The sequence below is a fragment of the Homo sapiens genome, chromosome 13, assembly GCF_000001405.40.
Source record: "Homo sapiens chromosome 13, GRCh38.p14 Primary Assembly".
Lineage (NCBI taxonomy): Eukaryota > Metazoa > Chordata > Mammalia > Primates > Hominidae > Homo > Homo sapiens.
This window is the reverse complement of record NC_000013.11, coordinates 87,367,542-87,394,322: the sequence shown is the minus strand read 5'-3', so window position 1 is coordinate 87,394,322 and position 26,781 is coordinate 87,367,542. Positions and strand designations below refer to the sequence as shown.

The window sequence follows — 26,781 nt, the reverse complement described above, 5'->3', positions numbered from 1 at the left end:
CACACACACACACAGACGATCAGAAATACACCTGGGAGCCCATGCCTACTTTTGTAGCAAGGAGCATAAAGATAGTATAACAAATTCCTTCTGCTCTTAGACCACAAATTATATTTATTCTTTGAGCTGTTTTTTCATTTCTGTCCTTGTTGATCTTCCTAGACTTTGCTAGATTCTGTCACCCTTTTGCTGATTAAGATATGATTTGGAGAAATTTCCTTAGAATTTAGAATGCCTTAAATAGATGCCTGGAACACAGGTGTTCTGAACAATAAATGTGCTTAAAAGTCTTTATTTCAGGGGGAGAAAAACAAAGCATTTTGCTTTTTTCAATGTATTCAGGTGCAGGATGCCAGCAAAGCCCCAACAACGTCTGAACAATGTTAACACTCTTGGTCAGAGCTAAGTAATGGTTGCCCATATAACAGCACATTAGGAAATCTGTATTTCATCTTTAAATCAAGATTTGAAACTCATTGTTATATCTCTGATTTGTTTCTCAAAGCCTGAACCCAGTATCTTCACCTTCAAATTTATGCTCTTATAATCTTTCCAACTTGATATATTTTTTTCTTATAAATATCTTTCAGATCCTCCTTTTATCAGCCTCAAGCAGATACTGCCCACTCCCCATCTCATCCCTGGCTCAGGATCTACAGTCTATGAAATTTGTGGAAAATGTAATTAAATATAAAATGTCTTTGAAACCCAGAAAACCTCTCCACAATGGCAGTAGAGAAAGAAAACACATTATTGCTGAATAATCATTAAGCCAGAATGTGATACACATCACAGACAGATCCCTATGGGATTGCAAATACAAGAAAAAAATCTCACCTTTTTATATAGCCAAGCAGATAGAACCTATTACATCCATGTTTTTAAGATAAACTCTAGCTAGTCCTAAAGCAAAAAGGACAGCACTATTTGTCAAACATAGTTCATCCTAGATTTACCTGGCAATTGTGATGACCATGTGTGTTAGCTAATTAGCTTTATCCAGAGAACAAACAAACTTCTTATATCTTTATGACACAAGATGCTTTGCAACATAAGGTAAGGTTCCCACTGAAGTTAGTCTCTTACCAAGGCACAGAGAGTGGTAGTACCATCTTCCTTAAAGATTCCATTTCCAAAAGATCATCCCCGGGTCCTTGAGAAAGTAATTCCTGAATCTTAAAACTGACAGGAGGCTTGTTTAGCTCTTAAAAAGGTTTACATACATTTCAAAGAGACTAAGAAGGAACTTACATTAACAAGTGATAGAATATGAAGTAAATATTTAATAAAAGGGAGTAGATTGTAGAGAGTGTCTCTTCCCTTGTTTCCAAGAGTAATTTTTTTTCTATTTGTATTTATCTTACATTATTAGTATCATAGCCCTGGGAGGCTTATTCAAGAAGAAATTGCTGAGTGACAGGACCCTGAAAGATTTTCTAGTTCATGTATATTCAGGTAAGGACTCTATTTTCAATGATTAACTAATGTCTGGCTAATGAGAAAGTAGATAAAAGGATAAAAATGCTCTTCTTCACCCTACAGAATATGGTTTAAAGTTCTATCTATGAACATCTAAGCTTGCAAGATAAAAATGAAAGCGGGTATAAGCTTGGAGAAAGTCCCTGAAGAATATTTAATAATTTCCCCCTCTTGCAAGAGAACAGCAGAAGTCACATATTACTTTAGGAGTCAAATGGTTGGGACATTTTATTTTAAAGGAGAGTTGTTTTTATATAACTTTGTGCTCATTAGTAAGATCTGTCCAGAGAAACACTGATTTATGTATTATTAAATGTTAAACCTCTAACAAGAGAGAAGTCTCCTGATCCTAGAATAACTTTAGATTTCTCATATCTCTATGTAGGCCTTGGGGGTAATTGGAACAATTAAATAGAAGCCCCTAATTTATATAAAAGTTTTAGAAACCACTTAGAAGCAGAATTTATTTTTAATGAAGTAGGTGCTGGGGATAATAAAGAGATGGAAAGAGTATTATAAAATTTTTGGGGCTTGGCTACTAAAAACGTCAATGAAAATAGGGTTCCAGTAAGAGCCAAGGGGAGCACTTTGTTGTGCTTATCTCCTCTCCTTGAGGCTCTTTCTCCCTAAGTCTCCCTTCTTGCACATGAGGCATTTTTTGTGCATCTAAGATATACCAAGTTTATTTATACCTAAAAGCCTATACACATTATGTGTCCTACAACTATTGCTGCCCACATCATTTAAAATCTTTGCTAAAATATTAGCTCTTCACAAAGGCCAGTCCTGTGGACTCTATAAAGCAGCCTTTCCACCATCTCACAACACATTGCCTGCCCTACATGTTTCTCCAAAGCACTTAATTATGACTTGATATCATACCAGTTTATAATTTATTTTCTGTCTTCGCAATAAAAATATAATTCGTCTAATAGCAGAGGTTTTGTATATCTTATTTACAATGATCCTGGAAAATACTGCCTAAAACAGAGCCTGGGAAATAAAAAAGTACTGAAAAATGTAGTTTAAAAGGATGGATTTATAATATGAACCCTGATAAAGGGGAGGGGAAATTTCGAGTAAAAAACAAAATTAGTGAAATTTCAACATTTTATTTTTGCCCACATATAAATATTGGGTCTTTAAATACATATTTTGATATTTATCTTACAGTGCTTAATTTAATTGCATCATGCAGGTCAGGTAAGAGAATGGAAATAAGCTGAATCTATTTGGAGACCTTTGAGCTTCCTGTGTTAGGATGTCCATATCTCTCTAAAGATTTGGGATGTTTTCAGCTGTTATTTTATTAAGTTTTCTATTATGTTTTCCTATTTTTTCTTCTTGTGGACATTTCTTAATGTAAATATTTGTTTACCTAATGGTGTCGCATATGTCCCATAGGACTTCTTCATTCTTTATTCTATTATTTTTGTGTTTTATTTTTGTCTTACTATTTAAAGACACCTGTCTTCAATTTCAGAAACTCTAAATAGAATAATAACAAGTAACAATATTGACTTAGCATTTTTTAAAAAAAATCCAAACAACAACACCAACAAAAAAGCCCAGGACTGGATGGCTTCACTGCTGAATTCCACCAAAATTTAAAAAAGAACTAACACTAATTTTTCTCAAATTATACCAAAAAATTGAAGGGTAGGAAATTCTTCCAAACTCATTCTACAAGTCCAGCATTACCCATGTGCTAAAACCTGATAAAAAATACAACAAAAATGTAGAAAACTATAAGCCAATATCATTGATAAACATAGATGTAAAAGTTCTAGAAAAATACTAGCAAACAGAATGCAACAACACATCAAAAATATTATATACCATGATAAAGTAGGATTTATTCCAAGGATGCAAGAATCGTTCAATATATGTAAACTGATAAATGTGATACACTACATCAGGGGAATAAAGGACAAAAGATGTGATTATCTCAATAGACGCAGAAAAAAACATTTGATAAATGTCAACATCACTTCATGATAAAAATTCTCAACATATTAGATATATGAGGAATGTATCTCAACCCAATAAAGGCCATATGTGACAAACCCACTGCCAACATTATACTGATTAAGGAAAAGTTGAAAGCTTTTCCTTTAAGACCTGAAACAAGACAAGCACGCTCACTTTGATGCCCACTTTCACCACTGTTATTGAACACAGAACTGGAAGTCTTTACCACAGCAATTAGGCAAGTGAAAGAAATAAAAGCCATCCAAGTTAGAAAGGAGGAAGTGAAATTGTTCCTGTTCACAGATGACATAATTTTATACAGAGAAAAGCCTAAAGATTCCACCAAAAAAACTCTAAGAACTGATAAACAAATTCTGTAAAGTTACATGATGCAAAAATCAACATACAAAAATTAGTAGCAGTTCTATACAACAATAACAAACTAGCTGAAAAAAAATCAAGAAAGAAATCTCACAATAGCTACAAAAATATAAAAGATACCTAAAATATATATTTAACCAAAAGATAAGAAATATCTCTACAAGGAAGACTATGAAGAGGACACAATCAAATGGAAAGACATCCCTTGTTTATGGCTTGGAAGAATTAGTACTATGAAAGTAAACCTATTATGCACACCAATGTGTAGGTTCAACCCAATCCCTAACCAAATACAAAAACATTCTTTACACAAATAGGAAAACAATTCTGAACTTTATATGGAACCACAAAATATGTCAACGAGTAAAGCAATTCTAAGTAAAAAGAACAAAGTTGGTGACACACACTACCTGACTTCAAAATATATTATAAAGCTATAGTTATCAAAACAACATGATACTGGCATAAAAACATGGTACAAAATAGAAAACCCAGAAACAAATCTACATATTTACAGCCAACTGAGTTTTAAAAAAGGGGCCAAGAACTTACATTGAGGAAATAACAATCTCTTCACTAATCTGGGAAAACTGGATATCCATATGCAGAATAAGAAAACTAGACCGCTTTCTCTCACTATATGCAAATATGAACTCGAAATGGATTAAAGACTTAAATGTAAGATGGGGAACTATGAAACTAGTAGAAGAAAACACGGGAAACACTTCAAAACATTGGGTTGGGCGAAGAATTTATGGATAAGATATAAAAAAACACAGCCAATGAAAGCAAAAATAGACAAGAGGCATTATATCAAACTAAAAAGCTTCTGCACAGCAAAGGAAACAATCCACAGAGTGAAGAGAAAACCTGCAGAATAGTAGAAAATACTTACAAACCATTCATCTGATAAAGGATTAATATCTATAATACACAAAACCCCAAACAACTCAACAGCAAAATACCAAATAAATTGGTTTACTTATGAGCAAATTATATGAATAGACATTTCTGAAAAGAAAACATACAAATGTCCAACAAGTGCATAAAAAATAATCGACATCACTAATCATGATAGAAATGCAAATCAAAACCACAATGAGATATGACCTCACTCACATTACAATGGCTACTTACAAAAAGAGAAAAAAATGACAAATACTGGTGAGAATGTGGAGAAAAGAAAGATAACACTTATACACTGTTGGTGGTAATGTAAATTAGCATAGCCATTATGGAAAACACTATAAAAGTTTTTCAAAAAACTAAAAATGGTACTACCATTAAATCAACCAATCCATCTACTGTGTATATATCCAAAGGAAAGGAAATCAATATGTGAAATAGATATCAGCACTCTCATGTTTATTGCTGTGCTATTCATAATACTCAAAACATGGAATCAAACTAACTGTCCATTAATAGATGAATGTATTAAAAATATTTTATATATATATACATACACACACACACACACACACACACACACAATGAAATGCTATTTCGCTATAAGAAAAACCGAAATCCTGCCTTTCATGGCAATATGGATAACCCTGGAGGACATTAAGATAAGTGAAATAAGCCTGGCATCGAAGGATAAATACTGCACATTCTCACTTGTATGTGAAAGCAAAAATAAATTGCTCTCATGGAAGTAGAGTAGAATAATGCTTACTAGAGGCTGGGAAAGGTAGTGGTGAGGGCAGGATAGGGAGAGTTTGGTTAAGGGGTATAAAATTACAGCTAGATAGAAGCAATAGTTTCTAGTTTTCTATAGTACTGTAGAGTGATTACAATTAACAATAATTTATAGCGTATTTTCAAATAGCTAGAAGAGAGGACTTTGAATGTCCCCAACACAAATAAATAATAATTGTTTGAGTTGGTGGATATGCTAATTACCCTTATTTGATCATTACCCATTGAATACACGTATGAAAATCTCACACTGTAGCCCATAAATATGTACAATAATGTGCCAATTAAGAAAATATATGGAGATAAGCTCTCTGAAGCTATTCCAGCACATTCACTTTCCAGCAATATTCATTATTGTGATAAAGTACACACACACAGACAGACATGCATACACATGTATTATGTTACTTTAAACCAACCAAATGTGGATTAATCCAACACATTTTTACACTATTTTAATTTATTCATAGCTTTTAATGACAATGAAAAACTAGGCAGTTTTTTTCTGAATTACATAATCCTCAAACCTCTAATTCATAGCTTCCCAAATTTTGATGAATAAGAAGTTGTGGAAAGCAAATAGAACATTTGAAAACAGGTATAAAAGGCAAAATGAAATACAAGCCTTTCATCTGTAATTAGAGGTTTAAGTTATTAATGTGGTTTCTTAGCAAAGATTTCAGAAGAAAGAATGCATTGCAGCCATCACCATCTCAAAGTGTTCTTGGCATAATTTTGGATGGGGCAATTTATTAAATGAATTCATATTTTTCAGTTCTAAAAAAATTTAAAAAACTGTCTCAGAAACAGTCTGGTGATCTTTGCTAGTGTTCTGGCAGAGTGAAACATAGCTACGGCGGGCACAGTCTTAAAGGATAATTAATTAAAGAAACTGAATTAATTAAAAAAGCTGCAGGAGTTAGGTCTTCATTATGCAAGGTACTTTCTTTTTCATGTTTCCTGTCACTCCTGAGATATATTTTATAAACTGATAGAACCATATGAGACTAAACATGAAGCTCCCATTTAGAGAATAATTCCATGATTACATGAATATGTTATATTGACATTGCCAGGATAAACTCTATGCTCAGCAATGAGAATACATACAGATCTGAATGATATGTCTAGCTTCAGATAAAGCAACAATATTCATGATCCATTGTGTCATGTGCCATGAATCTGAATATCTAATAAAACAGATTCAGAAAATATCAAATTCAGGTCTAACGTGCTACTTTTTATCTGTTGATTCTTTAAAATTACTTAAAGCATGAAATATCAACATGAGATTTTGATACTTGGAATTTTCTTGCAACCATGGTTTTTCCTACAATCATCATTAAAATATCTAGCATATGCTCAACACTTAATATTTACCATTCTACTTACTATACGAATCCCTTTTATATACATTTTCTCAATTAGTTCAAGAAACAGGATCATGGCAATACTTTTCATCCTTATAAAATTAATATAAAATTCTAATTGTAAAAATGTAAAATTAAGCAATTGAAGCTTAGGGAGTTAAAAGAACTTCTCTGTCAAACATTTGAACAGTAGTTTACTTACTCCAAGAGACTCACCTCTAAAGCACTATTTTATACCAACTGGGCTATATATCCAAATTTCAGTTTTGTGTTTGTCATTTTATCAACTTCTTGAAAAAACTAAAATACAACATATATGTAATCTACAATAATATATCATTTAATTACTGCATTTGGTCTGAGGAAATAAAGATTAATCAGACTTAATTATTATCCTCAAGTAAGTCTCAGACTTGTGAAGACCTACTTCGAAGAAAATGATTAGGCCGGGCACGGTGGCTCACACCTGTAATCCTAGCACTTCGGGTAGATTACTTGAGGTCAGGAGTTCGGGACCAGCCTGGCAAACATAGTGAAACCCCTGTCTCTACTAAAGTACAAAAGACTATCTGGGCATTGTGGCACACTCCTGTAATCCCAGCTACCTGGCAAGTTGAGACAGGAGAATCTCTCGAACCGAGAAGCAGAGGTTGCAGTGGTTGAGATCGTGCACTGTAGCCTGGGAGACAGAGAAGTTCTGTGTCTTACCAAAAAAAAAAAAAAGAAGAAGGAGAAGAAAGAAAAGAAAAGAGAGTGATTATATTTACTGTGATAATTGATCCTAGAGGCATAAAGTGCTGTATAAACAACACTTAAGCAGGGCCCAACTTTCTCTGGCACGGCAGGGTTTGATAGGCAGCCTAGGTAGAGAGAAGCAATATACCTTCAACTATATTAACTTTGATAAACATGAAGAGGTGGATGCTACTAGTCCCCTGCTAGATTCATTTTGGCTGTGACACCCATCGCCAATGAGTGAAAATAATGGCTGATAGCAACTCATGTCTTCCTGTTTCTCTGGAGAATTGGCCCTTGCACCCTTATGTTTATCCCCTGCAGGCTAAACCAATTTCACTTCTGCAGGCTGATCTCTGCCAATGTCTGAGTGACACATACGATACACATTCCCCCTGTTGCTTTAAAGAGGGAGTATGTCTGTGGTACAAATTTTGCTTCATAACTTCCAAGTGTTTCAGTGTTTTAGTCCTCAAATGATAACTCACATTTGTTTAGCTTTTCTCTCTGTTTTCTAGCCTGCTTCATTCACTCTCCTCGTTGAGATCAACCATTTAAATAATTTGAACAAGAATTTTCATCTCAGGCTCTCCTTCTAAGAAACCAAATAAAAGACATGGTGTCACAGCAGTAAAAGTTTAAGATAGGATACAGCTGAATGAAGAAGTTAGGCAAGTAACAATTATGAACTTATGTTTTCATAAGACATTGTGTGTGTGTTTATATGTACTGTTGGTGTGTGTGTGTGTGTGTGTGTGTGTGTGTGGGTGATCATAAGGTCCTTGAAATGAAAGATCTTACTTTCTTCACCTTTATGTCTCTTCCTGTTACATCCCTTCAGTCTTAGATTGGTCTCACACGGGTCACATTTCTCACACCTAGAACTGCATATTTCATACTTCACATAGTAGAGAATACTAAAGCCTTTTCAAATAAATGAACAAGGATGTAAGATTCTAAATTCAACAATGTTGTAAAATTTTATTAATTTACCACAATGCTTGACAAAATATTTTACCAAACATTGTTTATCAAATGCCCTGATATATTTAATATGTTTAAATAGATTCAAGGATAACTGTCATAACAAATTGTTATTTGGACATGCTAGTGTTCAAATGCAACATGGTGACTCTAATAATTTGTCAAAAAATACAACTCCATTAGAGATGATTATATTACGTAATTGAAAAGTGAGAAATTATAATGTAAACAGTTCTATCTTAACCTAGTGTCAAACAGGTTAAGAAACAGAGTCCGTTCTCTCTCCTTAACATGTGGCTTTTCTCCAGTTTGAAATGAAGGCATAATTTTGCCCAGTCATAATTCTTCCCACAGTCCCAATCCTACATCCACCTAGACATCCAATAGCAAAATAAGAGAGTTCTATTTTAGTATATTATCACACACTTTTCACGATTGGCTTGCTTACAAAATGGTTACTAGGCCTATTCCTGAAATAAATGCTATGGCCAGGATATAGATCTATATAAACGGACTAGAACCACCATATCATCTGGTGTTCTCTCAATAAAATCCACTGTGGATGGGAGGATTTGGTTCTTCAGTTGGCATAATGTGGATCACTTGTCCTAAGTGCAGTACCAGGGCTGGAGACCTTCCTTATTCATATGGACTGAGAGAATGGCAGACGGGGACATTTTCAGAAAGTAATTAAGAATGATAGGCAAGCCCAAAGCAAAAAGTTCCTCCACAGAAATGACAGTTATGTTGAATCAATTAATACTCAGCCAATGTATTAAAAGTGTACCTAGAAATTATGCTACATTACAGAAAATAGATAAGAATATTATGTTTCAAAATTTTATAAATGCAAATGAAAAATTTTAAAACTTGAACTAGAATTAACTAAAGCACTCAAATAGAGTGACAGTAAATATCTCTATCTCTACAATTATGTAAAAATATAAAATATCTCCTGTTTATAAGCCAATTTTGAATAAATTGAGATTATAGCACATACTCATTGACCTGGTTATGAGTTCTTTGGTCCCAATATATTTGTTATAAATAAAACACAGATACATGAAAAACGTGTAAAAATATGGTTTAATGGCTGGGTGCCGTGGCTTACGCCTGTAATCCCAGCACTTTGGGAGGCCGAGGTGGGCGGATCACAAGGTCAGGAGTCCAAGACCAACCTGGCCAACATGATGAAACCCCGTCTCTACTAAAAATACAAAAATTAGCTGGTCTTGGTGGCACGTGCCTGTAATCCCAGCTACTCGGGAGGTTGAGGCAGGAGTCTTGCTTGAACCAGGACCCAGGAGGAGGAGATTGCAGTGAGCCAAGATCCTGACATTGCACTCCAGCCTGGGTTACAGAGCGATACTCCATCTCACTAAATAAATAAATAAATAAATAAATAAATAAATAAATAAATAAATAAATAAAAATATGGTTTAATACATTTTTATGAAGTGTACAATATTCTAACCAATACCCAGTTCAAGGAATAAAACTTTGCCCACCCCCCCATTAAATTCCTGTCTTGTGTTCAGTCCCAATATCAAATCCTTCTTTTCCCATACAAGTAACCATTATCTTGTTTAATCATCAATTCTTACATTTCTTTATAATTTTACCTTATTGAATAATTTTATTATAATTTTTGTATAATTTGTATACCTAGACACTAGAAGTTTTGTGATCTGTATGGTATATTTTACTTTAAACGTTCTCCCTCCATCTTGTAATTTCCCCCTTACTATGTATCTGTTAAAGTGCCTCTTCCTTTTGACCAATGGAGTTTTCCACAGTTTCTGGATTCTGTTGTTGCATTTCAGCGTGTTCCTCTGTTCTTCATAGTTCTCCAAAATTGTCACAGAATCTCAGAGTTTAATTTAAGCTTGATTTTCATCCCTTTGGCCAGATTATTATTGTTGTTATGTTATTTCATAAGGAGTCTCATTATATCTGCTATTCCTTTTTTTTTTTTTTTTGGACATCACTAGCCATTGATATTCACTGCAAGATACATTGATTTATTGGAGGCTGACAATTGGTAATATTCGGTTATATGTTTGTATTTATATATTGAATCATGTTATAAATCATCACTTATCTTCATCTATCCTTTGATTATCTAGTGGTATGGTTCACAGAGAAAAGGCCACATAAATATTTTGTTTTAGTCACTATATTTGAAAATGCTGAAATTGTTAATATTTTAATAATCATTATAAACTAATGGATTTGAACACATATGTTGTAATTTGTCGCAATTATTGTATTTGATGAGCTCAAATGATGTCATATTTGACAGCAGAAATCTTTTCAGTTTCTTGTTTTAACATTTTGATAGTACCCCATAAACACTGATAGCTTTCTTGCTATCTGATGTAACAAGATACTCCAGGGTCATCTTGTAAATTTTTGCTCCAATACTGGAATTAGTCATTTTTCTAAGAAACACTGCTTTCTTTAAGTAAGAGATGACATTTTATGACTACAGTCAGATAACTAGAGATGCTCATTGCTACTTTATTATTCATTGTTTTTAAGCATTTTCAGTGGTCACATAGAAAAATATATAATACACACAAGCATACACAAACACTATAAAATATGTTTCATATTCATGTGGATAATTTCAATCCAAACTCTTAACTACAGGATTTTTACTAAAATACCACTGAATTGCACCTATGTCTCCTCTCTTACTCACTGACAGTACTGGTTCTCAAGATTACAGAGAATATGGAAATCGAATATACCATAATTAATTATTTGCTATGTTGAAATATACAGTATTTGAAGCATAGCCATATTAGTACTATTAATATGTATCAGTCAGAGTTCTCCAATGAAACTGAACAATCAGGATGATAGGATAGATGGACAAATAAATACATAGATCAATAGATATATGTATAGATAAAATATGATATATGGTTTAATAAATTTTATATATACTCTATTCATTCTTCCCCCTCCACTTACAAGTCACATTATATACATTGATAGAACACAAATCCACTACATACTATTCTTTGTAGCTTATCAGAAGTTCATTATTCATTCATGGGTCAGAAAACTTGTTATCATGAAGGACTAGATAGTATACATTTAAGGGTTTTTTTAGGCCATATATTCTCTCTCGCAATTACACAGGTATGCCATTCTACTGTGAAAGCACTATTAAAGGATGTGTTAATAAGTGAACATGACTGTGTAAATATAACTCCTTATTAAAAAAAAAAAACAGAATCAAAGCAGTTTGGCCCATGAATTATAGTTTTCTACTGCTTGCTCTGCTAGATTGCTCAGGAAGTGCTCATGAAAACATTCCCTCAGTTTTTGCATGTTGATAACAATTTGTCTGTGGTCATCATACTTGATAGTTACTTTTGTTGGTCATAAAATCTTTGGCTCACGTTTTTTTCTTTGATATTTTCTTTGATTTCTTTAAATGTTTTATACCATCTTCTTTGGCTATAAAGCATTATAATGATGTTTTCTGATATTTCATTTCTTTCCTTTTCTATGCCATTTACTCTTTGTCTAGATGCTTAAGTGTTTTGATATTTTTTCTTAAAATACAGTAATTTTACTGGAATCTCTCATGGTATTGGTCATTCTGGGTTGATATTCTCAAGTTAGTGGTGTGCTCTTCTTGTATATGCAGCCCCAACACTATTTAATTTTTTTTCTTGGGTTACGGTTTTTAGGATTTTTTTGTGTGTCCCTTTGTTTTTTTACCTATAGGAACTCCTATGATCCATGCATTGAAGTATCTTTAAATATATTAAATACTTGTTAGTTTTCCAGAATCTGTTTTGTATTTGTGCTCAGTTCTATTTTTTTCCCAGTTCCAATAAGTCTTTATTTATTCATCGTATTTTCCCAGGAAAGAAGAGAAGTGAAAAAGTCAACATGTGTGTTACAAAATGATTAGAAAATAAGAAAGTTTCCAGTACAGCAAAATAAACCATCAAATAAACACACCCAGCGATGGGGGTCACCAAAGTCCAAAGGGGCTCAGTCTCCTACAGTTCAGGAATGAGGGGAAAGGATCAGGAAAAGAACAGAGAGATATAGGCTTTCCTACCCTCCCATTCTCTCCCCATAAATTAATAGTTTCACACAAATCTTTGGTTTCTACCAGTCAACAAGACGTTACATCCATATGTCTCCTACTAAACAATCTTGTGGCCACTTTGACATGTTTCTTGCACCTGCATAAAAGTTCCTGAGTCACTTGGATACATATTCATATTCCCTTTCTTGGCCTCCTTACCCCACTTCTTCCTGAAAGGTCCTCAATTACTTTTCTCTGCTTTAGGATTAAGGATTAAGTAGGATGGATCCAAACAAAATAAAGCAGTATCTTAAGTGTTTGTCACGAGTCACATCAAAAAATGGTCTTGACTCAGGAGTTTGGGAACAAGAGATGGAAGTTTCCTAGCTTCTTCAGGATTTTTGCATAATTGGTTTAAGATGTGGAGATCATCCAAAAATTAAATGTGTATGCATGTGGGTGTATAGGTTTTCTTATTGAGAGAGATGGAAAAGAGGGCAAAGTAGGAGACACATTTTTAGAACAGATGTGGTCCAACAGGTAAAAGGAGATGGGGAACACAAAAGAAAGGATGGTTCAAGGTCTCCACTTTAAGAAGGCGGCCCCAAAAACTAATGTCTCAGATATTTTTGTCTGGTACCCAACCATCTTTGAATGCTTTGGCTATGTTTCTGTCAATACAAAATGTTTGTAAACATAAACCCCAAAGAACATAGAGAAAGACCAACACATTATATTTACACAAACTAGGCCATCTGGCAATCACCAATTCAGTGATGTTCTAAAAGCCCAGAGAAATACAAAAACTAGAATGGGGGCAGCATTTGGGAGACAAGAACCCAGGATCAAACCCACACCACCCAAGGAGCTCTATTGCATTCTTCCCAATTCAACACAGGAAAGTAGGTTTGCAGTGATCTTACAGTGAGCAAATGAAACTCTCTTTTTACTCCTTTAGCTACCATGACACTACTGATCATCACTGCAGCAGGGCAGAACAGTGGCTTCAGGCACCACAAAGAACCCCCATTTGTGGGTCTCCCTGGAACCCCCACATTTTGAAATGTTGAGGATTTTAGTCCTTGCTTTGTATATCCATCCCTTGACAGCACAGGCTGTACACAGAAGAATCCATTCTGATTCTTAAAGTGGAGATCTTGAACCATCCTTTCTTTTGTGTTCCCCATCTCCTTTTACCTATTGGACCACATCTGTTCTAAAAATATGTCTCCTACTTTGCCTTCTTTTCCATCTCTCTCAAAAAGAAAACCTACACACCCACATGCATGCACATTTAATTTTTGGATGATCTCCACAACTCTTAAACCAATTATGCAAAAATCCTGAAGAAGCTAAGAAACTTCCATCTCTTGTTCCCATCTTAAAACTATCTATAAATCGTTCAAGGTGTGCACTGGGTTGAGCTTCCTGTCCGTGACCACCTGCTCTGGAGTTGCACTTGAGCTCCCAGTGGACATCATTGTGCACCAGAGTAAGCTGCACGTGGAGGGCTTCCAGAGCTGGAAGGAGGATGAGGCAGTGGACTTCACCTGTAAGAAGTCTACCAAGGGTCTGAAATCTATCTGTGTCACCAGACCTAGTGGGATGTTCTGTATTGAAAATGAGAGGCAGACAAAGGGGAGAAAAATGCAGATATCAAAAGGAGGCAGGTCCCAGCACTTTGGGAGGCCGAGGCAGGCAGACTACGAGGTCAGGAGATTGAGACCATCCTAGCTAACATGGTGAAAACCCATCTCTACTGAAAATACAAAAAATTAGCTGGGCGTGGTGGCATTCACCTGTAATCCCAGCTACTTGGGAGGCTGAGGCAGGAGAATCTGTTGAACCCGGGAGGCGGAGGTTGCAGTGAGCCGAGATCATGCCACTGCGCTCCAGCCTGGGCAACAGAGTGAGACTCCATCTCAAAAAAAACAAAACAAAACAAAACAAAAAAAAGAGGCAGGCAGGTGGCACAAGAGTGGAGATCTAAACCATCATGCCAAGGAATGCCAGCTGCCACATCAGCCCAAGAAGCACCACTGTGCAGAGCATCAGTCATACCGTTGCCTCATATCTGCTGAAGGCCCAGCAAGCCCCTAGCACACAGGGAAAGCCAGCCTATTTTGGGGAGGAAGAGGAAGATACACACAGCTGTGCCCTGTTCCCTGAGGCCCAGAATTGAGCCACTATGGGTGGAGGCTCTTCTTTTGCTACCAGGAATTTTCAAGCAGCAGGAAGAGTGGAGAGAGTGGTAATAGGGTGGACTGGGGCTAGGTGTCACTGTCATGGATCTCGGGCTGTGGTTCACAGCATCCCCTCTTCTTCCCCCTTGATCAGGGGAACACGTGAAGCAAAGGAACTCCAACCATGTTCTGTCCAAATACAGTGAGCGCTTTTGGGAAGAAATCAGCGGAGAACCTTTATGCTTTATCAGAGGCCCCATCCCCAGAATTCTCAGCTTTTGAAAATGGCCTGGACAGGAAAGTCATTTTCCTTTACATGAAGGTATAATAATAATTCCTATGCTAGAATGAAAGGATTGGGTGTAGGACGAGATTTATGTATCCAAGCCACTACGTTATGCGGGAGAAAATCTCTTAGGAGTAAAGCAGTGTTTTGTTTTGTTTTCACATCTTGTATCCTCATACTCACTCTTGGGATAGGGTGTTGGGAACTGTCCCAAACAATGAATAGTGATGAAGGTGAAAGCGATGGTTGGGAAACAGCTGCAGATCTGCTGCTCCTATGATTGACTACCTCCACCCCTACCCCATTCTGATCAATGTGATTTTGTTTATTCACTCCCTTGGATACTGCACCTTGAGTCTCACTTTCTTCGGGATGCCAACTGTACACTAGCTGTGTGCAAATGATGTATCTTGTTCATTTGAATTTTTTTCCTTAATATAACCATTGTAGTTTTGTATTTTTGTATATTTCAATTTAAGGCCCTCATTCCTGCACTGAATTCTCAGGTACATGAGCAATCTTAGGGATAAGACACCAGAAGCTCCAGGTCTGCACACCAGGAATACTTTTTGTTGTTTTTATTACCTTGGAGAGTAACTACTTGGAGTGCACAGCCTATTGAACTACATCATTTTTGCCAATGAGAGCTGACTTTTTGGCCATAGTGTCCTCTTGAAACCCTCTCCACCTTGAAAATGTTTCATGGGAAACTTAGTTTTAACTGGGTTGCTCTATGACTTGATCATTTCCTTCTGGAAGATTGGAAATTAGTCTAAACGGGAAAAGGTGGTGCAGAGAGGTTAGGAGAGGCTGGGCCAGAGCAGAAGCCAAGGTTAGGTGAGGGTTGTCTAATTCTAGGACACAGGACATGTTTTACATACCAGGTCCATTCTTCACAGGATTAGGCTAGGCCTACGACACACAACAGGGGATTGTGTGTGTGTGTGTGTGTGTGTGTGTTTCTCTAAAAAACTGTGAACTTATAAGGATAACTTTTAAGATAATTTATATTTCTTAATATACTTTTTATTTTGAAACAATTATAGAGTAATAAAAAAAATTAATGGTAGTAAAAAAAAAAGATGTCTTTTCCATGCTTCCCCTAATGTTAACAACTTACATAACCATAGCACATTTGACAAAATTATAAAATTAAAGTAGGTATAGTATTAGCTATATTACTTATTCTTTTTTTTTCAGGATCTAAACAAGTACTCTACATTACATTTAAGTCCATAAACTTTTTAAAATATACTTTTTAATTACAGAATAGTTTTAGATTCATAGAAAGTTTATGAAGATAGTATGGAGAGTTGGTATTATCCCACACTCAATTTCCCATGTTATTAAGGATTTATATGAGTATGGTATATTTATCACAGTTAATGAACCAATATTGATATATTACTATTCATTAAAGCCATTATTTCTTTCCTTTTGTAGTTCTATTGTGTTTTATTTAACACGTAATCATTGTACCTATTTGTGGGATACAGTGTGATGTTTTGATGCATGTATATATTGTGGAATGATCAAATCAGAGTATTCAGCATACTCATCACCTAAAATATTTATTATTTCTTTGGCCAGGCATGGTGGCTCACACCTGTAATCCCAGCACTTTGGGAGGCTGAGGTGTGTGGATCACCAGGTAAGGAGCTTGAGACTAGCATGGTAAACATGGTGAAACCCTGTCTCTACTAAAAACACAAAAAATAGCCTGGCATGGTGGCGGGAGCCTGTGATCCCAGCTACTCGGGAGGCTGAGGCAGGATAATTGCTTGAACCCAGGAGGTGGAGGTTGCAGTAAGCCTAGATCACGCCATTGCACTCCAGCCTGGGCAACAAGAGTGAAACTCCATCTCAAAAAAAATATATATATATATTGTTTCTCTGTGTTGAGACCATTTAAAGTCCTCTCTTTATAGCAGCATGATGTATAATCCTTTGGGTATACACCCAGTAATGGGATGGCTGGGTCAAATGGTATTTCTAGTTCTAGATTCCTGAGGAATCGCCACACTGACTTCCATAATGATTGAACTAGTTTACAGTCCCACCAACAGTGTAAAAGTGTTCCTATTTCTCCACATCCTCTCCAGCACCTGTTGTTTCCTGACTTTTTAAATGATTGCCATTCTAACTGGTGTGAGATGGTATCTCATTGGGGTTTTGATTTGCATTTCTCTATGTTTATTGTGGCACCATTCACAATAGCAAAGACTTGGAACCAACCCAAATGTCCAACAATGATAGACTGGATTAAGAAAATGTGGCACATATACACCATGGAATACTATGCAGCCATAAAAAATGATGAGTTCATGTCCTTTGTAGGGACATGGATGAAGCTGGAAACCATCATTCTCAGCAAACTATCGCAAGGACAAAAAACCAAACACCGCATGTTCTCACTCATAGGTGGGAATTGAACAATGAGAACACATGGACACAGGAAGGGGAACATCACACTCTGGGGACTGTTGTGGGGTTGGGGGAGGGGAGAGGGATAGCTTTAGGAGATATACCTATTGCTAAATGACAAGTTAATGGGTGCAGCACACCAACATGGCACATGTATACATATGTAACAAACCTGCACGTTGTGCACATGTACCCTAAAACTGAAAGTATAATAATAATAAAATAATAAATAAATAAATAAATAAAGTCCTCTCTTACAGTTATTTGGAAGTACACAATGCAATATTTTAAGCTATGGTCACCTTGCTATTCTATAGAACATCAAAACTTATTCTCCTATCTACCTACGATTTTCTAGTCATTGACCAATCTCTCTTCAACCTCTTTTTCCTTCTACCCTCCCCCAGCCTCTTGTAACCACTATTCTACTCTGTAAGTCTATGAGATCAGCTTTTTCAAAGATGCCAAATGAATGAGATCATGCTGTACTTGTCTTTGTGTGCCTGACTTCTTTGACTTAACCTAATAACCCTTCACATTCATTCACACTGTCTCAAATCACAGGATTTCATTTTTTTTCATGCTTCAATAGTATCCCATTGACTATCTGCCATATTTATTTATTTTATAATGTATTTTTGCTGTGCCATGATTCCAATCATGATACCAAATTACATTTAGTCATTACGTCTCTTTAGGCTCCTCATAGCTGTGGCAGTTTCTAAGACTTTATTTTTTATTTTTTTTTATTTATTTATTTTTTTTTTTTTTGAGACGGAGTCTCGCTCTGTCGCCCAGGCTGGAGTGCAGTGGCGCGATCTCGGCTCACTGCAAGCTCCGCCTCCCGGGTTCACGCCATTCTCCTGCCTCAGCCTCCCGAGTAGCTGGGACTACAGGTGCCCGCTACCACGCCCGGCTAATTTTTTGTATTTTTAGTAGAGACGGGGTTTCACCGTGTTAGCCAGGATGGTCTCGATCTCCTGACCTCGTGATCCGCCCGCCTCGGCCTCCCAAAGTGCTGGGATTACAGGCGTGAGCCACCGCGCCCGGCCTATTTTTTATTATTTTTCAATTTAATGAGGAGAAAATACTGGATAGGTATTTTGTAGATTTCACTCAAATGAGATTAACCTGATGCTTGTCTAATGATTAAACTGGGGTTATGTAATTTGGGGAAGAAGGCCACAGAGGTAAAATGTCTTTCTCATCAAATCACATTAATGGTACACACAATCAACGTGACTAACAAGACTTACCACTATGAGTTTTCATCTTGATTACCTGAGTTCATTAGCTCTTTACTTAGTTATTCTTTCCTCTCCCACTTTCTATACAGTACTCTGCAAGAAGTTAATATGTGCAGGAAACTTTTAGTGAGTGGGAAATTAAGAGCTGTCTGCCATCAATTACTTAATATTCTTTGGTACAAGATATTTGTGTTTTTTTCATATTTAGTTTTTTTCAGTAGATTCATAAAGTTTACATTGAGTTATTATAATCCAATACCACTCTGTTTATTTTTTGTTGAATTTTCCAGCCTTGCTCATCCTCAGCTCTTTCACTGGTTTCTTTGTTCCTTTGGACTTTTTAATTTTAATATTGTCTTACGTTCTGGCACTAAAAGATACCCCAGGCTCATATCATACATACCTCGTCATTGTGCTAAAATAAGCCACTTATCTAAAAAGCCCTGGTACCGTTCATTGGAGAACGATATTAGAAAGAAAAGTACTATGCTCCTGGGCTGTAATTCCTTCTAGGATTTCTACACAAGAAAATATACATGTGTATTACTAACCTGTGTATATACACATATCTATAGATATTTTTAATGTATCCATGTGCATGTATCTTAACATAAACTTATACTGATATATCAAAAACTAATCGATTACTGCTTGATCATTCAAGCTTTTCTTCTCTTTTCTTTTTTCTTTTTTTTTTTTTTTTTTTTTTTTAAGACAGAGTCTTGCTTTCTTGCCCAGGCTGGAGTGCAATGGCGCAATCTCGGCTCACTGCAAGCTCCGCCTCTCGGGTTCACGCCATTCTCCTGCCTCAGCCTCCCGAGTAGCTGGGACTACAGGCGTCTGCCACCACGCCTGGCTAATTTTTTGTATTTTTAGTAGAGACGGGGTTTCACCATGTTAGCCAGGATGGTCTCAATCTCCTGACCTCGTGTCTGCCTGCCTCGGCCTCCTAAAGTGCTGGGATTACAGACGTGAGCCACCGCAACTGGCCTCAAGCTAATCCTTAATAACCCACTCCACTCCAACAATAAGAAATGTTGCTTTAGTTTGTTTCTGTTTATCTTCCAGATATTTGGATTATAATATGCATTGTTCACATACTTTTTTTTGTCGTATGTATATGCGTATTCGCTCTATCTTTTATAAATTGAATACTTTTACTGTCCTGGCGTATTTACTTTTGTAGAATGTGTAACACTTTGTTTTTTAGATAATGAATGTCTAGTTAATAGTGATTAGGTTTTCTTTCTTAAGTCAGATAGTTAGTTAAAAGATTTGTAAGTCTGATAGCTCAATTTTATAAAATAAATGGCTCAATTTTTATATAATTTTTTAAAGTAAATTTGAAGTCTTAAGTAAAGATATGTATAATTCTTTATTAATGGGGTAAACTTATATAAGGCAAACCAATATTATATGTTTTTAAAATAAAACTATTGATTTTTGATAGTCATAATTTACTGAAGATAAAAAACTTTGAGTGAAACAAAATGTAATATCTCAACTATACAAATATATCTTTAATATTACCACCTTTCAATAACATCTTAATTTTTCTTATGTATAAGAAAGTTTTGCATGCTTTGATATAATAAAATTATGTACCAAAAATGATATTTCCTTCTAACAATTCCAAGCCTCACACTGATTATTTCCTTACAGTTGACATAAACGTTATTTGTTGCCTTTCAGGTGAATTCAATCTGTAGGAAGCCTGGAGCTGTCAAAATGATTTTGATAAAAAGCTGGCTTCAGAATGTTATTTTTTCCTTTCTAATTTGTAACAGATGCCTCTTAAAATCATAAATATATTCCCTGGAGATAATTCATCACAGTGTGAATTTAATACATAATTATTTGAAGGTATGAAGCATTTTGATGGATCCTTATAATAATATTAATCAGATCATTCTTGTCTCAACACTTACTCTGCCTGACTTGCAAATATATATGTACACCTAATAACTTTTATGAATATATAGTCGTTTGAATTTTCTTGTGATTATGTACATATATATGCACAAATGGTATTATGCAAAGAACATGCACTAAATTTAGATCATTTAAGGAATAAGTTGAGGAAATGGTAAGTAATGCTAAATAGGTCTTTTTTTTTACTCTGAAATGTCTATATATATGTGTGTGTGTATATATATATGTGTGTGTATATATATATATATGTAACTATTACATATATTTATATTTGCAGTTGCTTGCTTAATTTACCTTCATGGTTATGGTTTTTAAGCCATATCTTCTGATTAGAGCAAGTCTTTATTTGTAGAATATTATGAACTAATGAATGCAGAAGGAAAAGCAAAATCGGTACAGTCACCATTTAGCAAACACTAAAGAAATAATTGATTCAAGAAAAGAACATAAAGAACATAAATGAGTACTTAAAAAAAACTTACATAAAATATTTATGAGAAAATAACTCCCAGAGCTTGCCAAATTTCACCTGCCGATGATTTGCTGGTCATAGGGAAAAAGCATCTTTACCAGCCAGGACTCATATTCTACCACCTGAAACCACTAACAAAATTAACTTCACTAATCATGGGACAACCAGGCATTTTATACACCTACCTGCTGAAACATGAAGTAAACCATATGCAATTTTTTTCCTTTTTTTTCTGCAATGACAAATGGAAAATGAATTTTCAGTTTATGGTATACACAGGGGGCAGAGGAACATGCTAAACAATAAGAAGGCAACAAGATAAGTTAGAATGCAGGAAATTCTGTAAGACAAGTAAGCCAGTTAATGGCATAAAAATAGGTGATATTCAAAATTAAAAGATTTAAGAGACATAATGTCTAATGCCCTATGTGTACTTTAATTAAAATATAGTGATGATAAAAAAGTACTTTCATATATGTGAAAGAAAATCAGAAAATAATCTTGAAGATGGGCTGTATATTAGATGAGATTATTAAATTGCTGTTGCTAATTTTGTTACAGTTGATAATGATATTTTGATTGTATAAGAATATACCTGTACTCTTGCCGAGACAAAATGAAGAATTTTGGTGTAAAATGCCATAATATCAGAGCTATGCATTATAAAACTTCAGCAAAAAATTAATTAAATATGGCAAAATGTTAAATTTCCTATCAAATCAGATATATGGGGGTTAATTATAATATTCTCTCTATTTTATATATGCTCATTTTAAAATAGAATGTCAAAATATATAGCAAAATGCAAACCAAAAGTAAACACTGTTTCCTGTAATTGGATTTTACTTGTGAAGCTTCTTTTTCTCACACTTTTACCAAAATTTTTTTCTACTTTTTACTCTAAAGGTTGACAAATGAAAGCAGCCTATAAACCTAATAGTCAAAGAAAAAGCTTTATTCTTCTTCTAATTAGATGTTTTCAGTGAACTCAGAGTCAAAGAATGGAATTATGAACCTGCCATCTAAAGAAACATGACTCCCATTGGTACAGAAGGGCCAAATTTAAGCTGTTGAGCTGGCAACAGACACACTGGAAACAAAATGAAATGACTCCGTAATTCAATTTTCACATGTGGAAATTTGGAAAATTGTTATCTATGCATTATATTTGTTAGAAGGAGTAAATTAATTGATATATGTAAAGTGCTTAAAACATGCCTGGTACATAATGAGGAATAAACAAAATACTAGCTAGTATCATTTTATTAGTATTTATTATTGGGATGGACAGTTTTCTATAGAAAGTGAAGAAGCAAAAATAATTCATAGTCCCAGATGAATTATTTGCTTGTCATAGGGAAAACGCAGTTTTATGAATTGCTTGAATTAGCTAAAATGGCTTTTTACAAAACTGAAAAGGAAGAAGGTAGCCATGAGGTGATGAAGCAGAAGTCTTTTTGTTTGTCCAATCAAATAAATGCTAGATAAAAATGATTAGCGAATAAACTAAATATAAATAACCTTCTATCAGTCACTGATTATTTAGATTGGTCAGAATTCCTTGAATTTCTGGAAAACTTTAATAAAAAACTAGAAAAATGTTTTATAATGCATATACCTTTAATAAGAAAATGTGTTTTTCAAATGATGTTAAATTTTTCCTTATACTTAACATAAACAATTATAATTTTAATCAACCTTAGGGTTAAGAAATAACTTTTTTAAGTTTTCACTTTTATGTCTATATTTTTGGTATCAATTTACTAAGTGCAAGATTATCTAAAACCCATACCAAATCTTTTATCTATAAAGTGTGTATCAGTATATCACAGCGCTTTTATTTTTCCAGTAGTTACTTAAGTGATCCTACAGACTCCAATTTTTTTCCTCCCAATATTCCTAATCTTTGCAGATCTGTCTATCTATATCTAGTTTTCTTGATGCCATGTAACTCTGTAAAACCTTTATGTTTATCATATCGTATATAAAATAATCTCCCTATTTTGACAGTGAAAGCCTGGTCCAAAATGATCATCGTCTGGACTTAACATTTTTCCAACTACTTTCCACATAAAGAATCTGTTAAACCAAATTAATCTTAGCCTTTTCATTTCAAGCATGCTAGGTTTACTTCTGCCTGATATGTCCCATTCCGTTCCAATGCATGTATTATTTTAACTTATTTTCTAGAGCGTACTAAGTCAATTTATATCTTCATAGTCTAGCAAGATCTCTACTTCACCTGATACTCTATATAGTAGCACTTCCTGAATAAGTAATTAAAAGCTTATCAAAGTGTTGGGTATGGATTCTAATTTATAGGCTGCTTTCATTTGTCAACCTTTAGAGTAAAAAATACAAAAAAATTTTGTTAAAAGTGTGTGTGTGTATATGTGTGTGTGTGTGTGTATATATATATATAAGACGTGTGTGTGTGTTGTGTGTATATATATGTCTCAAACCTTCCAAAGTGAATTATAATTGCATTTCCCTCACTTATCTCTTTACTTAACAAGCAATGAACATTAAATAAATGTGTGGTGTTGGTACACATGGATTCTAGATTTTCTTCATAAGGAATCCTATGACTATATATATTTAATCATTTATCTGTTAAACACTAAGCAAGGATGAAATAGAAATATTACAGTGTAGGCTTTGGGTCAGCCTTCTCTGAAGTTAATTACTGGCGCTATATCTTATTTGATATAAATTTACTTTGTTTATTTACCTTGCAGAGAATTGTTGTAGGGTTAAATAACATGGTAAACCTAAAGTTCCTAGTATTATGTCTGGTACAGAATAGCCGGTGTAATATTGAGGAATTTCTGTATGCCAAAATCTCTGCTCACTAATTCACTTAGGTCATTTCTCTAAATTCTCATACAACGGTTTGATAGAGGTTCTATTATTATTGCTATCTTTTTGATAATAAGTTTGATATAAAAATAAAGTAGTTTCCTTAAATTGTACATATAGTAAATCATTTTCAGAGTTGATACTTGATCCACACTCTATAAAATGTTTAATAAATATTGATTCTTTTTATTAATGTTTAGGTTAAGCCTGTGCAGTAAATGCCGATGACACACAAATGAATAAGGAATGAATACTGATATTCTAATAAAGAAAAACAAGAGAAAAGTGTGATATCCATCACTGGTACTTAAATTTGGTATCGGCAGAAAACATACAATTTCCCAAAAGTATATCATATTCCAGTGTTTTTCATATGCAATATTAGGTATGTACACATGTATTGCTTATATCACATATCATATATAGCATATATCATCTCATCTGTCAATTTTGAGTGAAATTGCTAGCGTAATCTTATGTTTATTTCATCATCAAAAAAATACTTGCTTATCTCTATAGCAAGGATGCGAACTTTTATTTTTCAAATTATATCTAAATATAAAAATAGATCACAAATGGATAAGGTCAGATTAGGAAATTGCTATTGAGAGAATTGCTAAATGCATACTCACACAGCTTCTTAAGAATACACAATTGCACTGTCTTTTTAACTTGTACAGTCTTCCTAATTCTCAGAAAACATTGTAGAGGAGTTTTAAAGGGGGAAGAATTTATCACCTATACATTTATTCATTGTATTTTCTGATATTATGTGTAAGGGTTGGTTGGTAAGAGATAGAAGATAAAGCAGGTTCTATTAAAGATTCAAATTTCATTGACTGATGTAAGCCCTGTTATGTTAATATGGGCACATATTGATTTTGCAAACTCAAGGATTAAGACAAAAGCAGCTAATAATAAGTATATTTTAAGAACAAATCCAGAGGCTATTATAGGTAAAACCATAGTGTGGATTCAATCTATACTCTGATACGCTGGTATGTAGACATTTTGCTAAGTAGACATTAGCATTAAGTAAGGAAAAGAAGTCAAATATGTTTAGTTAAAAATTGTTACTCAAATTTCATGGTGGATTATTTACAAAACATGGGAGAAAACAAGTAAAAATATTTAATTCTAAGGGCTCAGCTACCTTCAAAATGTTGAATAAAACGTTAAAGCAAGTGAAAAATAACTGCTGTTAGAGATAAAGCAAAGATTTTTGTTCTACTGTTAAAAGAGGAATTTAAAAATCTTACTTAAATATATTCCTCTTAAAGAATTTTTACAGAATAGAGGTAAACAATGTAAACAATAATGTGGAATAAAAAAGGTAGCTATGCAGTATACCTATCAGTATTTCTACACAAAATGAAATACTGGAGAGGTTCCAAGATTGCCGAATAGAAAGAGCTCCTGTCTGTAGCTCTGTAGCTCCCAGCATGAGCAACGCAGAAGACAAGTGATTTCTGCATTTCCAACTGAGGTACTGGGTTTATCTCACTGGGGCTTGTCAGACAGTGGGTGCAGCCCAAGGAGCAGGGTGGGGCATGGCCTCACCCAGAAAGCACAAGGGATCCAGGAATTCCCTTTCCTAGCAAAGGGAAGCCATGACAGACGGTACCTGGAAAATCAGGAGACTCCCACACTAATACTGTGCTTTTCCAACAGCCTTAGCAAATGGCACACCAGGAGATTATATCCTGTGCTTGTCTCAGAGGGTCCCACAGCCATGGAGGCTCACTCACTGCTAGCACAGCAGTCTGAGATCCAACTGCAAGGTGACAGCGAGGCTGGGGGAGGGTCATCCACCATTTCTGAAGCTTGAGTAGGTAAACAAAGTGGCCAGGAAGCTCAAACTGGGTGGAGCCCACCGCAGCTCAAGGAGGCCTGCCTGCCTCTGTAGACTCCACCTCTGGAGGCAGGGCATAGCTGAACAAAAGGCAGCAGAAACTTCTGCAGACTTAAACATCCCTGTCTGACAGCTTTGAAGAGAGTAGTGCTTCTCCCAGCATGGAGTTTGAGATCTGAGAACGGACAGACTGCCTCCTCAAGTGGGTCCCTGACCCCCAAGTAGCCTAACTGGGAGACACCTCCCAGTAAGGGCCAACTGACACCTCATACAGCTGGGTGCCCCTATGAGACAAAGCTTCCAGAAGAAGGATCAGACAGCAACATTTGTCATTCTGCAATATTTGCTGTTCTGCAGCCTCTGCTGGTGATATCCAGGCAAACAGGGTCTGCAGTGTACCTCCAGCAAACTCCAACAGACCTGTAGCTGAGGGTGCTGACTGTAAGAAGGAAAACTAACAAACAGAAAGGACATCTACACTAAAATCCCATCTGTACGTCACCATCAAAGACCAAAGGTAGATAAAACCACAAAGATGGGGAGAAACCCAGGCAGAAAAGCTGAAAATTCTAAAAATCACAGCACCTCTTCTCCTCCAAAAGAATGCAGCTCCTCACCAGCAACGGAATAAAGCTGGATGGAGAATGACATTGATGAGTTGAGAGAAGACGGCTTCAGACGATTGGTAATAACAAACTTCTCCAAGCTAAAGGAGGATGTTTGAACCCATCGCAAAGCTAAAAACCTTGAAAAAAGATAAGATGAATGGCTAACTAGAATAAACAGTGTAGAGAAGTCCTTAAATGACCTGATGGAGCTGAAAACCACGGCACAAGAACTACATGATGCAT

The 26,781-nt window shown here is 35.2% G+C and overlaps 1 long non-coding RNA gene and 1 pseudogene across 2 annotated transcripts in view; one reads left to right on the top strand and one right to left on the bottom strand.

Moving 5' to 3' along the window:
• The window catches only part of LOC105370302 (uncharacterized), a 112,367-nt gene that overhangs the window by 52,061 nt on the left and 33,525 nt on the right, over positions 1–26,781 (bottom strand). Inside the window, exon 5 of one of the 2 annotated variants that reach the window (XR_001749950.1) lies at positions 21,419–21,451. The exons of the other annotated variant lie outside the window; for it this stretch is intronic. This is a non-coding gene — a long non-coding RNA (uncharacterized LOC105370302). Of the gene's footprint in view, positions 1–21,418; positions 21,452–26,781 lie in introns of those variants that run through there. 2 annotated transcript variants of the gene reach the window in all.
• LIN28AP2 (LIN28A pseudogene 2) lies at positions 13,639–14,857 on the top strand (annotated as a pseudogene).